Source organism: Homo sapiens, chromosome 4 (genome assembly GCF_000001405.40).
Source record: "Homo sapiens chromosome 4, GRCh38.p14 Primary Assembly".
In the NCBI taxonomy this organism is placed as follows: Eukaryota; Metazoa; Chordata; class Mammalia; order Primates; family Hominidae; genus Homo; species Homo sapiens.
In genome coordinates, this window is record NC_000004.12 from 107,870,048 (window position 1) to 107,885,310 (window position 15,263).

General features: G+C 35.9%; 1 protein-coding gene and 1 long non-coding RNA gene across 17 annotated transcripts in view; one reads left to right on the forward strand and one right to left on the reverse strand.

The window, feature by feature from the left end:
* The window catches only part of SGMS2 (sphingomyelin synthase 2), a 90,485-nt gene that overhangs the window by 45,485 nt on the left and 29,737 nt on the right, over positions 1 to 15,263 (forward strand). The window lies entirely within an intron of this gene.
* CYP2U1-AS1 (CYP2U1 and SGMS2 antisense RNA 1) overlaps positions 1 to 15,263 on the reverse strand; it is a 68,641-nt gene that overhangs the window by 6,569 nt on the left and 46,809 nt on the right. Inside the window, exons 4-5 of the long non-coding RNA NR_125929.1 lie at positions 3,933 to 4,041; positions 3,283 to 3,397 (exon numbers count right to left, since the gene is read on the reverse strand). This is a non-coding gene — a long non-coding RNA (CYP2U1 and SGMS2 antisense RNA 1). The remainder of the gene's footprint in view (positions 1 to 3,282; positions 3,398 to 3,932; positions 4,042 to 15,263) is intronic.

Below are 15,263 nucleotides of genomic sequence, written 5' to 3' on the forward strand. Positions count from 1 at the left end.
AGCTGTTCTCTATTATCTATTTTCTCAATACTTTTACGTTGTACTCTAGTTGTAAAAGTACTGGTGATGCCTGCTATTCCTAATAACTATATCAGCCTTTTATTTACAAAATAATCTTGTATGTAGCTTTTTAGTGGATGGATTGGATCCATTTAAAAATTGTTGTGGCTGTTGATTTGTTTGGACTTATGTCTGTCCTCTGTAAGTAAGAGATGTCTGTGAAAAGAAAGCAGAGGTAAATAGATGGGAGATTAAAATGGACAGGATTTGTAGTGATTTTCAGGTGAGCAGGGGAGGGAGTTTGAAGTCGGGTAATAGCCAACATTTATTTACTCCGAGTAGCTGATTGGATGGTGGTACCGTTTACTGTGATAAGAAATGGAAGAGGAGGTGCGTGAGTGGAAGGAAATGTCAAGTGTGTTTTGGTACATGAGTTGTAAGCATCTGCTTTTTCTTTGTTCTTAGAGCTATGAACTCTTAGATGGAATTCATTCCTTTCCTTTAAAGATACCCGCCATTAACCCATAATCACTTTTGCCAATTTTAAGATTTCCTCTAAAGTATAGATGCACGTTAACCAGAATGTCATTTTTGGTTTCGTTTGGTTTGGTATAAGCTTTGGAAATGGGCTCCCAATGTCCTATGCTTATTGATGCAGATTATGCTGTAAGAGATAATTTTAGAAACAATAAAAACAAAAACTCATTTTCTAGGCTGCTTCTTTGTTTCATGGTAAGCAAAGAAGTATAATTCTTTGATATTTTTAAATATAAATTTTTGATAGCATGTTTATATTTTAAAAAGCAATTTAAAGTGATTATTTATAGGCAAGCACTTTTATTTATATAGAGTCATCAATGACAATTAGATTTAATGGAAATAAGATTAACTATAAAATTACATCTTTTAGCTTCCTAATGCTAATTGAACATTGAGTTTGTAATGTTTCCTGACTACCTCTTGGCATTATGTTCAGGTTTAGAGACAGCGATTTTAATCATCCTGTGTTTTTCTAAGCCCATTTCACCCTTTAGAAAACAGTTTTGATCATAGTTCACTCCCATGGATAGACCAGTGCCAAACCAAATAGGATAAGTACTTGGCTGATTTTCTATTCACTGCTGATAGGCGGAGCTTGGCATTTTAAAAGGCTATTAACAGAGAGAGAGAGACTATTTTACTTATTTCTGATTTTATTTTCAGTTTTTATCTATATACCCTAGACGTTTTAAAAATTCCTGTTAAGTTATATATAACCAGTCTTTTTCCCATTTTATTTCTGTCATTTGAATTTACTTTTCACTTTTACATCTACCTGGCATATGGTTTCACTAAACTTCAAATGTTATTTCAGGCTGTTTTCTAATTTGTAAAAGTTTTTATCTCTCATTGTTCTTTTTAAGTGACTTCTGCTTGGGAAGAGGGGAAAAAGCAGTTACTGAATCAAAAATGCCTTGAGGACGGGAGCCAGCTTTCTCTTCTGCCGCCTTCCTTAGCACTTAGGACCCAATTCTGCACAGAACAGGAGGACATAAATAATTCTGTCTTTGTTGGCTGTCTGTTTACTTTACCTTCTAGGCTATCAGCAATAGTATTAACCATTGCTACATATTTAACCGGCAAGTACTGGTATCTTGAGTTTGGTCACTGTTTTTCATTCAACCCAGGGTACAGTTTTAAAAGTTTTCTATACCTGTAGTTTCTATCCCGTTTACTCAAGATAAAATTTAAAAACGTCTGCATTGAAGGTCAAATTCTGAATTCTTGTTAGATATTTGATAGCTTTAACTTTTATGTCTCCACATAATGCTTTTGTTTTTATTCTTCCTCTGCTTATAATATTGCATCTTTAGCCTTTTTTAAAAAACCTAATATGCGTTAAACACTTATTTTAAAAAAACAGCACTGGGATGATCAATTAAATAAAAGTCCATCATGACCAGTGTAATTAGAATACTATACACATGCTATTTTGATCTATTATAAATAGAAAAGAACTCAAAGGCAAAAATCCATAATTGAGTAAGTATGGGAGCATCTTCAGAGGAATCTTTTTAGTTTTAGAAAGTTATATTAGTACAGGTTTCTAGAGGGCATTTACTGTAATTGGATCTCAGTAGGTTGGAACATAGATGTTCCTGATGTTCTTTTGACTTGATGTTGCACTGATTTTTCTTTCTGACAATGGTTGTTCATTTAAAATTTTAAATTGAGTGTTATCTCATAACACTCAAATTGAGTGTTTAAATTGAGTGTTATCTCATAAGCCTGGTGAGCCTAATTGAATAGCCACCCTTTAACGTCCCATCCTGCTTTGTCTTCGTAGCAGTTTTAATCTTTCATTATTATTGTCTTACATTAGCAGAATTCAAGCTCCATGAGGGAAGCGACTTTTTAAAAAATTGTTATATCCCTAGAACAGTGACTAGTACATAGTTGGCACTCACTAAATATTATTGAATAAATAATTATCTTAGCCAAGCATAGTATTGTGCACCTGTAGTACCAGCTACTCAGGAGGCTAAGGCAGGAGGATTGCTTGAGCCCAGGAGTTAGAGGCTGCAGTAAGCTATGATTGTGCCACTGCGCTCCAGCCTTGGTGACAGAGTGAGACCCCTTCTCTTAAAAAAAACAATAAGAAGAACAACCTTTGTCTTTTTAGGCAGTAAAATTAAAACATGCTGCTTATTTATTTTTTCAATGCAAAAAAAGATAAAAAGTGAAGTAAATGTTCCATGTAGTATCACCCTTCCAGTAACCATGTAATTTATATAACACAATTTTCTTTATATAATATACATTTATTTATAATGTAACTAGTCCCATTTTGATGGACAGTGTGGTTCTGGTTTTTCAGTCTTACAGATCCAGAATCACTTATCCACAATTTCAAAATCTGAACAGTAGTAGAATTACTATGTCAAAAGATAAAAGCATTTCTAAAGCTCATCATATATTTACAAAGAGATTCTCAAAAGAATGGTACCAATTTATGATTCTACCAGCAGCTCACTGCAGTTTTTATGCTCCGTTCTGATTACAGCTTAAATTACATTTTAATGGGATTTGTTTCAAAATAACTTTCCAGTGTTCCTTATCCATGAATTAGAATAGGGTAGAAGCTTGTGTGCTAATTTGTCAATGAGACATTCTGTAGGAAGTTCTTATTATTGGTAATTTGGAAATATTTAGTCACAAGAACTCTTTTGCCTACGATTTGTCAGAGAAGGTATAGGGGAAATCAGCTTCAAATAGGAAGTAAAGAAATGAGTTCTGGCTTACCTCAGATTTACCTTCTACTTCTGTTTCTCTACTCCCTGCAGAAGTAGATATCACAGCAGAAGTTCTTCTCTGTTACCCATGTTTTCTCAGGGTTTAGATTTCTGAAATCACTTGCCTTCATATACATACGAGGGATATGAAAAGAATGTGAAAATGAAAAACTGACTTAATGTGCAAAGAAAGACGAGCATCAAGGCCCCAGATGAAAGCCTTGATTATATAAATAATCAAAATTATATTTTATATATTATTAATCTAAAATTTATTATATACTTATGCTGTGTTTATTTGCATACAATAATGAACTGTTCCTGAGAGAGTATCTGACTTTTTCACATGGTAAATTAGTTTTAATTGTGGTTCTGTATACGATTTACTGTTGCCACAGTCGAAATATTTCAGTTCAGTCTGTAGAATTTCAATATCACGTTGCTGTGTAAGAGCACCTGCCCACAGTTCCCACCACAATTTGGATTTTCATCCAAATACTCAGGATTTTAATGGCAAGGATTGATCCCCCTGTAAGTTTTACTTTTACAGAACATGTCTTACTTTGGGCTCCTAAGAACTATTTAAGTGCAGCTGCAGTGTCTACCTTCACTTTTCCACATTTTTATTCTCTTTTAAGGCTTTATTGCAGAAACTCTTACTCTTGTTCAGCTATTCCTTTTCTTTTCCAAACTCATTTCTCTCTTCTGATCACCTTCCGAAGGGACAGCTTGGATACATTGGAACTAAATTTCTTGTTTTATAATATATCTAAAAGAAATACAAAATAAGAGCTGTATACTGTGTTCTAGGTTTCTGCGAAAGAAAAACAGGCAGTTCACTAGGGATCACAGCATAATTAATGGTGTACAAATAGACACTCCACAATCATTATTGTGCCAGCAGCCACCAAAGCTTTGTGATGGAATGTTCAAGCTCTGTACAGGGGGCATTACTTTAGTAGAGTAGGCAACAAAAGACACATTTGTTTATTAGAAACTTTGCTTTGCAACTTTGTGAACCAGCACAGTTGGTCACAAATGGAAATAAAAGTCTTGAGTGAGCTGTTCTGCCTTTTTTAAGAGAGAAATGCGCCATTCCCTGAAGGTTGCTGGATTAGTTTACTTGCTCTAGAGCTAGCAACATAGGGATTTAGTTCTAAAGAACCTTATTTTTCCCTAGAAGACTATGTCTGTTGGTAGCCATTCTGAATATACTAAACCACTAATGTTATCTAAAACAGTACTTAAGTACTATGATGAATAAACCAAATTTATTTCCAAGTGATTTTTTTAAGTATACAAACTTTCTAGTGAACATTTTGGAAATTTACATTTTATGGCAGTTTCTTCATTTCCTTGATTTATTAGAATAAATGAAAATTCAATAGATAAATATTGTATATTTTAAGTATCAATATCATTGTCACTTGCATTCCTTAAAATTGTTTAAATGGCATTGTTAGATGCATGATTTTAATCTTTTAGGTAAATTTCATGTCTTAGGTTATTCTCTTCGTGTCTCTACCTCATGTCTTCAGTGAAGGGTTGGGTTGAGATATCTGCGTCCCTCTTCCTAGAGCCAAATTTGAAGAACATAAATCATCATTATTAGGTTATTTGCAGAAGCCAATCTCTGAAGCCTATGATTGGAAGCACTGGTCAAATAAGTGCTTTTGAGAGACAATTATTTATTTAAAAGCAACATAACAGTTTAAGTTCTAGGAGAACCTACAGCCTATTACAACAACCTTAATAGCTTTAGAGAAGGTTTACCTTTTTACAGTTTCATACCACTTGAAAGCAGTGGCTTATTTAGTCACTCATGCAAAAGCAACTCTGGAAAAACAGCCCTGCATAAATCGTTCTGTTATAAAGACACATGCACATGTCTGTTCATTGTAGCCCTATTCACAATAGCAAAGACACAGAATAACCTAAGTGGCCATTGATGATAGACTGGATAAAGAAGATATGGTACATATATACCATGGAATACTATGCAGCCATAAAAAAGAATGAGATCATGTCCTGTGCAGGGACATGGATGGAGTTGGAGGCCATTATCCTTAGCAAACTAATGCAGGAACAGAAAAACAAATACCATGTGTTCTTACTTATAAGTGGAAGCTAAATATTGAGAACACATGGACACATAGAGGGAAACAAAATACACTGCTGCCCACCTACCGAAGGGTGGAGGGTGGGAGGAGGGAGAACATCAGGAAGAATAGCTGATGGATGCTGGGCTTAATACCTGGGTGATGAAATAATCTGTACAGCAAACCCCCATGACACACATATACCTGTGTAACAAGCCTGCATCTGTACCCCTGAACTTAAAAGTTAATAAAGAAAAGAAAAACAGCCTTGCATTTTTAAATGGAAGCAGAAAATAGTATAGACTGTATATGAATGGTCTACATTGTTTATTACTTCATTTGTGGAACATTTTTGTGGTTGGCATAAGAGAATGAAAAATAGAGGATTTACAGTCCTTTCTGGTTCTTCTGTGTTGTCTCCCTTTCTCTATTTTTTCCTTTCCTTTTAATGAAGACCCTGCTCTACCTTGAAGAATCCAGGTGGACTGAAGCATAGGACTTCAGGACACTAGGAGCTTTCTAGCCCTCATGCTCCCCACTCCACAATGCCCCATACTAAGGCCTGGTAAATTGCAGCAAGTGATGGAAATAAACTGTTCAAAGTACAGATTCTAGAACCAACCTTCTCCTTAATAATTTTTCAGTGCCCAATTCCTGCTTCTAGGAAATGTGCCCCTAAACCTCTCAGGCTGTATTAAGCTATTTCTTGAACTCATTTTGTTAGCACAGAGCACAAAGCACAAATGTAATAACCAGTAACCCATTATATTTTAAATAAATATCAATGTCTAATTCTAGACATTAGACTCCTACAAGGAAATGATATTGAAGTGTATCTAGGTGCCATTTCTGCAGCAGCACAGGGATTGAGTAAACTTCCTGTTCTTAGGCATGTGCCATCCGCTATAACCACCAAATGTTCTAGCCACAGCACCTGGTTAAATGTTTCTCCTCAAGTCTCTGCCTTTATCTCCATACAGAGCAGGATTATCTAACTCACTTCTATAGATTTTTGCTTAAAGGTAACTTTGCTTAAATCTCAAAACAGAGAGGTAATATCTCTTCCATTGCACTAGTAAACAGCAAGCAATGTTTCAAGAAGTCATTTTTAAATACCCGTTTCAGTCGCCTGTTTTTATTATGCTTTGCAACATTGTTTTGAAATGGTATGAAATATATACACTGGTCTCCATGTGGTAGAGGGAGCAATCAATATGTGGATTTCTAAAATAATCTGAAGGTCACAGAATACAAGAGCTGTATTAAAATAGAGAGTTATAAAGTTATTTTCAGAGAACTATTCTTTTTTTTCATTTCATTTTTTATCCTGAGTTTTCTACAACAAGATTATGTTTCCAAATCTAGGAAATTTTTTGTGGTAGACAAGGAAATATACTGTTGACTTTGATTATGATCTATTTACTTAGAAGGAGATCTCTAGTTTCATTTAGAGAGTGTTATGTGGTTTGGGGAATATAATGTTAAACTACTAGACTCAGGTTTTGCTTTTCCTTCTTCCCTGGACTAGCCATTATTCTTAGGAGAAAATATTAACTCCAATATAAGTCTTAAATATCTTATTTTAAAACTATTAAATGGGACTGGGTGTGGTGGCTCACACCCATAATCCCAGCATTTTAGGAGGCTGACTTGGGAGAATCACTTGAGGCTAGGAGTATGAGACCAGCCTGGGGAACATAGCAAGACCCATATTTCTAAAAAAAAAAAATTATTTAAAAAATTAGCTGGCATGGTGGTGTTCACCTGCAGTCCTAGCTACTCAGGATGCTGTGGCAGGAAGATTCCTTGAGCCTAGGAGTTTACTGCAGCCTGGATGTCAGAAAGATATCCTGTCTAAACAAAACAAAACAAAAATGACTAAATGGGATGTTTTTTAAGTTTTTCAACACCTCTCACTTCAATAGGTAATCTATGCAGCCTCCTGTTACAGAGTAAATTAAACCCTGAGGTATTAAAACCTAAGAGAATCAGTTTCTAGGTATATAAATCTTGGGGATATATAAGGAAAGCTAGGAATGTAGAAGCAGATAATTATCACTGTTGTTCAGTTAGGCTGTTATATTTAACCTTACTGATAAAGCCCCCAGGGTGTTTGGCCTAAACAACTGCTGGCTGCTTTTGTTTGACCATTAAACATGGAACAGGTAATGCAAGTTGTATGAAATGTTTCTAGTGACCACGTGTCTATCTTGTACGAAATGATTCTAGTGACCACATATCTATCCTGTAAAGATTTTTTGTGAATTAGTAAAATGATAGTTTAGGTTATTGAAAGCGCAAATGTCTGTTTATATTATAGGGACTTCCTTTGTTCATCTGCTAAAGTAGATAAGCATTTTAACACAAAGATAAGCCTTCAACACAGCTTATTCTCTGAGGCCATGGGTATGTCATACTTCACTAGCAATAAGTCCAAAAAGGGATGGAAAGTAGAAAATTTCCACCTCACTCTTTCTTTCTTTCTTTTTCTTTTCTTTTTTTTTTTTTTTTTTTTGAGATGGAGTCTCACTCTGTCACCCAGGCTGGAGGGCAGTGGTGCAATCTCGGCTCACTGCAACCTCCACCTCCCGGGTTTAAGTGATTCTCCTGCCTCAGCCTCCTGAGTAGCTGGGACTACAGGTGCGCACCACCATGCCCGGCTAACTTTTGTATTTTTAGTAGAGATGGGGTTTCACCATGTTGGCCAGGATGATCTCAATATCCTGACCTCACGATCCACCCACCTGGGCTTCCCAAAGTGCTGGGATTACAGGCATGAGCCACTGTGCCCGGCCTCAGCCTTGCTCTTTCTACTAAACACCGAAAACATCTAGGTCAAGAAGGAAGACACTATTTGGGGAGTCCCGTCTTCCCTACCCTACAGAACCTCTAGATGTGTCAGAAATGGAGCTGGGGAAAAGGGGTTGGGAGCAAGCATAAACCATCATTTGGGAAAAGCTCAAATGCATGATATGCTCCCCACTCTCACACCTTAACTTTGAGAACCTCTCATCTAGGGTATATTTGAATGGAAATGTGAAGAATTATTTCAAATATCCCCTAGTCTTTGACCTTGTTTTACAGTCTTCTTCTGTCTTCAGGGTTTGGGTAGCCCTATCTATCTTTCCATTAACATACCTACCTATCTAGTTAATCTACCTACCTACCTATTTATCTATTCTCTCCTTTATTTTTTCATTTGTCCATTCATTCACCTTACAGCATTTTCCATATTGTACCGTGGATTATTAAAGCGACTTCCCATGTGACTCCATCTTCTTTTAAGATTCTCCTTCTGGAGAGCTTTAGCTTCACAATCCCAGGGCTGCAATTTCTCTCTTTCCAAAATATGCTAAGAATCAGATTTAATCATTAAATTTTCCAGTCACCAACAGAAAGCCTCACAGCTAGGAAATGTCTAAAAAAAGAAGCCAGATTTTAAAATATCCTGTGGAACTTCCAGTTGTATTGAAGGTACTTTATTATATCAACGTCATTAAGGCAGAAACAGTTGATACAGGTGAGCAGTCTTCCACCATCCCTGTGTGCTACACTGTGGACTGCAGATCATCCCTGCTTGTGAGATACTCTCAGTTCTACAGTTTATTGTTTTCAAATTTGTACAGCTAATATTTGCTGTGGGTAAGTACTGTATTCATTTCAACAAGTATTGAATGGTCTACCTGGCCATTTTTTTTTTTTTTTTAGTGAGAAATAGACCGATTTTCCCCCTTTTAATCTAGCTCTTAGTAAATTTTGATGAATTTTGCTAGAAAATCCATCTTGTCATTTTATGTTGTTTAATTACAAGTTTTTTAGAGCACAGTTTACACAAATTTTGTTAAACAGTTTGCTTTTCATTAGATAGTTCTTGATCTTGTCTGTAGAAAATTTAGAAATGTGTGTTATTTCAGAGTCACTGCAAAAGTAGTGCTCAGCTGGTAAGTACAACACTTTAAAGGGATAAGTGAGCCCAGAAGTTAATAAGAGAGTATGGGATGTTCCTTGGTTTTCTAGTTCTTTAGAAATAATTTATCTTGATGGGCTATTTTTTTTTTTTCGAGACCGAGTCTCACTCTGTTGCCCAGGCTAGAGTGCGGTGGCACCATCTCATCTCACTGCAACCTCTGCCTCCCAGGTTCAAGTGATTCTCATGCCTCAGCTTCCCGAGTACCTGGGATTACAGGCACACCCCACCATGCCTGACTAATTTTTGTATTTTTAGGAGAGACAGGGTTTTGTCATGTTGCCCAGGCTGGTCTCGAACTCTTGGGCTCAAGTGATCCACCTGCCTCAGCTTCCCAAAGTGCTGGGATTATAGGCGTGAGCCACCGCACCTGGTGGGCTATACCTTAAACAGCTTAATTGAGTGATAACTCAATATCATAAAATTAAATTGTTTTAAGGGTAAAATGAAATGATTTTTAATAAACTTACAGAATTATGCAACCATCATTACTAATTTTAGAACATTTCTGTAACCCAGAAAGAAACTTCCAGCCCACTTGCAGTCACTGCCATTCTCACCTGCATTCTCAGATAACCACTAATTACTTTGTATCTGTTTGTTAGGCCGTATCTTTCTCTTCGTATAAAAACTGGATATAGAACCAAAGTAGTCCAATCTGCCTTAATATGGGATGGAAAATAAGTACCAGAAATCAAAATATCTGCCCTCTACCCAAGCATATCTCCCCTGAAGTTCAGAAGTACAGCTACTAGAAGCTAATTTTTCAATTATATCTTTTACCTGAATTTTTTTTTTACCAAGCCATTCTCAGAAGAAAGTGTCATCAAGATACCATCAAGCTTTCCCATTTCCCAAATTAAAAATCCTATCATACTAAAAAAGATATAGGACTTAGTTAAAGTATAAAAACTTGTAATGATCTGACAAGGACTCTTTTCAATGTTACTTTTGTTGGGAAAGTATTTCAGAAATACATGGTAACTTTTTGGTAAGCAGTGGATCTCCTGTCAGTTTTCAAGAACTTGTTAGTAAAAATACTTAACAAATTTTGTGGGTGCTTCTGAAATAGAATCCCATCACTCACAAAGCACCCTCACATCCATAAGCATATTGGTACCTTCCCATTTTGGCTGGAAAGAATTTTATAAACAAGTTAGTCTCAAACACTGTTAATAAGAAAAAGCTGGCCGGGTGCGATGGCTCACACCTATAATCGCAGCACTTTAGGAGGCTGAGATGGGTGAATTACTTGAGGCCAGAGGTTCGAGATCAACCTGGCCAACAAGACAAAACCCCATCTCTACTAAAAATACAAAAATTAGCTGGGCATGATGGCATGCTTGTAATCCCAGCTACACAGGAGGCTGAGGCATGAAGATCGCTTGAACCTGGGAGGCTGAGATTACAGTGAGCCAAGATCGTGCCACTGCACTCCAGCCTAGGTGACATAGCGAGACTGTCTCAAAAAAAAAAAAAAAAGAAAGAAAAAGAAAAAAGAAAAGAAAAAGGTAAGATGTCTTGGTATTTAGGAAAAACTTTATGGGCATGAGATTTCTTAGCTAAACTGAATGCTGTTAACATAAAATTATATACCCACGTGTATTACAGATTTAATATGGTAGCTTATTAGTAACATTAATTAAATGGCAGATATGGGTGATAGGGAAATTTTTAACAGGCTCCTTTTCTTTTTTCCCCACAATAGTGGTGAATTATAAGTTAAATTTTTTTCTAAGTTTATATTGATTTTTACAAAATTATAAAGACTGAAGAATTGCCTGTATTGCAGTCTAGAAAACCTCAGCACCATGCAATATACCAGATAACAAACCTGTACCCCCAATCTAAAATAAAAGTTGAAATTTAAGAAATGAAAAAAAAAAGTTCATAATTGATTGTCTCTTAATCTTTTTCAGTGATGCTATTGTTGATCTTTTCATATGGAATGGTACTAGAGGCAGTGGTATACCATTTAGGCACAGAGGCTCCTGAGGTCAGATTCCTGGTTAAATCTAGGCTCTGCTACTTCCTCTCTGACCTTGGGCAACGTACATCATCTCAATTTCTTTTTATTTTTTTTTTATTTTTATGGGTACAAAGTAGGTGTATATATTTATGGGGTACGTGAGATATTCTGATACAGGCATACAGTGTGTAATAATCAAATCAGGGTAAATGGGGTATCCATCACTTCAAGCATTCATCACTTATTTCTGTGATAAACATTTCAGTTATAATTTTAGTGATTTTTAAATGTACAATAAATTATTGTTGACTGTAGTCACCCTGTTCTATCAAATACCAGAACTTACTCATTCTATCTAACTATATTTTTTTACCCATTAACCATCTCTACTTCACCCGCCCTGCCACCCACCACTACTCTTCCCAGCCTCTGGTAACCATCTTTCTATCTCTATCACCATAAGTTCAATTGTTTTAATTTTTAGCTCCCACAAATGAGTGGGAACACATGAAGTTTGTCTTTTTGTGCCTGGCTTATTTCAATTAACATAATGTTTTCCAGTTCCATCCATATTGCAAATGATGACATCCTATTCTTTTTTATGGCTGAATAGTACTCTGTTGTGTATATGTACTACATTTTCTTCATCCATCCATCAGTGGACACTTATGTTGCTTCCAAATCTTGCCTATTGTGAATAATGTTGCAATAAACATGGGAGTGCAGATATCTCTTTGATATGCTGATTTTCTTTCTTTTGGATATATTCCCAGCAGTGGGATAGCTGGATCATATGGTAGTTCTATTTTTAGTTTTCTGAGGAACCTCCATACTGTTCTCCATAGTGGCTTTACTAACTAACATTCCCACCAACAGTGTACAAGGATTCCCCCATCTCCACATCCTCACCAGCATTCGTTATTGCCTATCTTTTGGATAGAAGCTGTTTTAACTGGGGTTAGATGATATCTCATTGTAGTTTTGATTTGTATTTCTGTGATGATCATTGATGTTAAGCACTTTTCATATAGCTGTTTGCCATCTGTCTGTCTTTTGAGAAATGTCTATTTGGAACTTTTGCTTATTTTTTTACTCAGACTATTAGATTTTTTCCTGTTGTTTGAGCTCCTTATATATTCTGGTTATTAATCTCTTGTCAGATGGATAGTTTGTAAATATTTTCTCCCATTCTGTGGGTTGTCCCTTCACTTTGATTGTTTCAATTTTTAAAAAAAATCTGGCTAACAATATTTCTTAGGGTTGTTATAGTGATTAATTAGATAATACAGAAGCATAGTACCTGCCATGTAAGTAAGATTTGCTGAGAACTATTATGTTGTGACTATTTTATTCTACAAGTTGATTTTTTTAATGGCTTTATAGTGACAACAGTTTTCTTTTTTAAGGTCTAAGAAAGCTCTTGTGTCTGTTAAGAAATTCAGCAGATTGTTTCAACTGATATTCAATTCAATAAAATTCTGTTTCAAGACCTAGTTTTTCTTAAACCTTTAAGTTCAATGTATAAACATCTATTATTCATTATTGCAGTTTATAAATGCAGGAACATGCTTTTTTTGATCAATGTTTTGCATCTATCTTGAACAGATTAAATTCTTTTAAATATTAAAACTATAATCTGTAGATAAAAATCTCTTAATTTTAAAATTATATTTACACATTTAATATATCTTAAACACTTCATATGCACCACAAGGCACACTTACAAATCTGGAACACAAAGCATTTCTACGCCCTTCTACTGGAACCCATGTCTATGCTCAGTAGCCTCTGCAGCTGCCGTCAATGAGCTTCAGATCTGAACTGCCATCCCTGCACCTTTTTCTGTAGCCATAAGTATCGATCACATGGCCTTTTCCCATTTTTTGAACTATAACCTTTGATATGAATTATTGAGATTCTACAGTTTCTATTAAGTTTGAAGTTTCTTCTTAATTTGATACTTCTTTTTTTTATTTTTGAAATAGAGTCTTGCTCTGTCACCCAGGCTGGAGCACAGTGGTGCAATCTCAGCTCACTGCAACCTCTGCCTCCCAGGTTGGAGGGATTCTTGTCCCTCAGCCTCCCAAGTAGCTGGGACTACAGGCGTGTGCCATCACGCCCAGCTAATTTTTTGTATTTTTAGTAGAGATAGGGTTTTGCCATGTTGGCCAGGCTGGTCTCAAACTACTGACTTCAGGTGATCTGCCTACCTCAGCACTGTTTTCTTCTTATATGGTATTTATATATCTGTCTTGCAATTTTATAGTTACTATGGTATCACACATTATGTGTAATATTAAGGTAACCATAATTCATTTAGCTAACCCCATGTTCTTAGATTATTTCCAATTTTCCCTTATATGTAACTGTTGAAAATATGCTTGTAAAAATATGTTTTGTACATCTAATCTAATTCCCTTAAGATAAAGTCATAAAATAGGATAACTGAATAAAAATGCCATTCAAACCCAATTTAAAAGCCTATGTAAAAAATCATTATTCTTGCTGCACTGTCTACAAATAATTAGGCCAAGTATAATAAAGCAAACCAGTCCTACCATGATTTGTCTTTAGTAAAAATGGGGAACTGGAGAGAGAAAAATTACATTTCAAAAACTATAGTACACTTGTTAGATTCTAGTCTTGCCTAATGTTTTTCAATTTTTAATATTTTCTACAGTTTGGACTGAATTCTAATTTTTCTTGGCTAGAAGTCTTCAAAATAATGTTTTCAATTTTTTCTTCTTTTTTCCCCATTTTTCCTAATTTGAAGTCACTGAAAACTAAGCTGTGCTTTCATGAAGCCCTGTGAACTGAAGCTAGACAACTTAAACTTCAGAAGAAAATAACAATCTATTTACATTCATAAGCCACTTTCATACCTGCCTACTAATGTATGGACTTCAGAGTAATGTGATCTATATTGATTTTCCAGGATTATTTTGTTTGTTGTTGTTTTTCTCCCTTCCTTCCCCTATATTCTCTTCATAGGACATGAGACTTCACAACCTTCTAAAAATGAGCTTTCCTAATAACTCAGGGCCTACCCATCTAGGAACAAACCATCCTAGCCATGAGAGATAAGATGAAACCTGAGCCCAGAGACTTTTTCTTCTAAAATGCTTTCTCCAAAAGATTTAAACAAAGGGGGGGGAAATGTGAAAGGAAAATATCTCTGGGCCCCAAAATCACTAAGCTAAAGGGAAAAGTCAAACTGGGAACTGCTTAGGGCAAACCTGCCTCCCATTCTCACACATCTGCTCACTGAGATAAATGTATAACTCATTGCCGCCTCTGGAGAGGCTAATCAGAAACCCAAAAGAATGCAACCGTTTATCTCTTATCTACCTATGACCTGGAAGCCCCCTCCCCACTTTGAGTTGTCCCACCTTTCCAGACTGAACCAATGTTCATCTTACATATGTTGATTGATGTCTCATGTCCCCCTAAAATGTATGAAACCAAACTATGCTATGACCACCTTGAGCACATGTCATCAAGACCTCCTGAGGCTGTGTCATGGGTGTGCATCCTCAACCTTGGCAAAATAAACTTTCTAAATTAACTGAGACCTATCTCAGGTTTTCAGGGTTCACACTATAGTTATCCTTTCCTACCAGTGTCTGGGAAAGCAAAAAAAGCCACAATAGTTCCTCTCTCAGTGGATGGCAGTTTCATTAGTTCATTTGTTTAGGGTACCATGCCAGAGTGCAAAGCATATGCCAAGCCTTCTGAGTCTTCTTACATTGCAAAATACTGGAAGTTAACCTAGATAATACTGAAAAAGTTAAAGATCTCTATAGATTCATCTCCCTTTAGAAGGCAAATGGCAAACTCTGAACCTTCCAGTTACACTGCTAGTGTTTTGTTACATTTTTTTTTTTAACTAAGCATGATTTATTCCAGAAATGTAAGGAAGATTTAAAATTAGAAAATGATTGTAATAAAATACATCA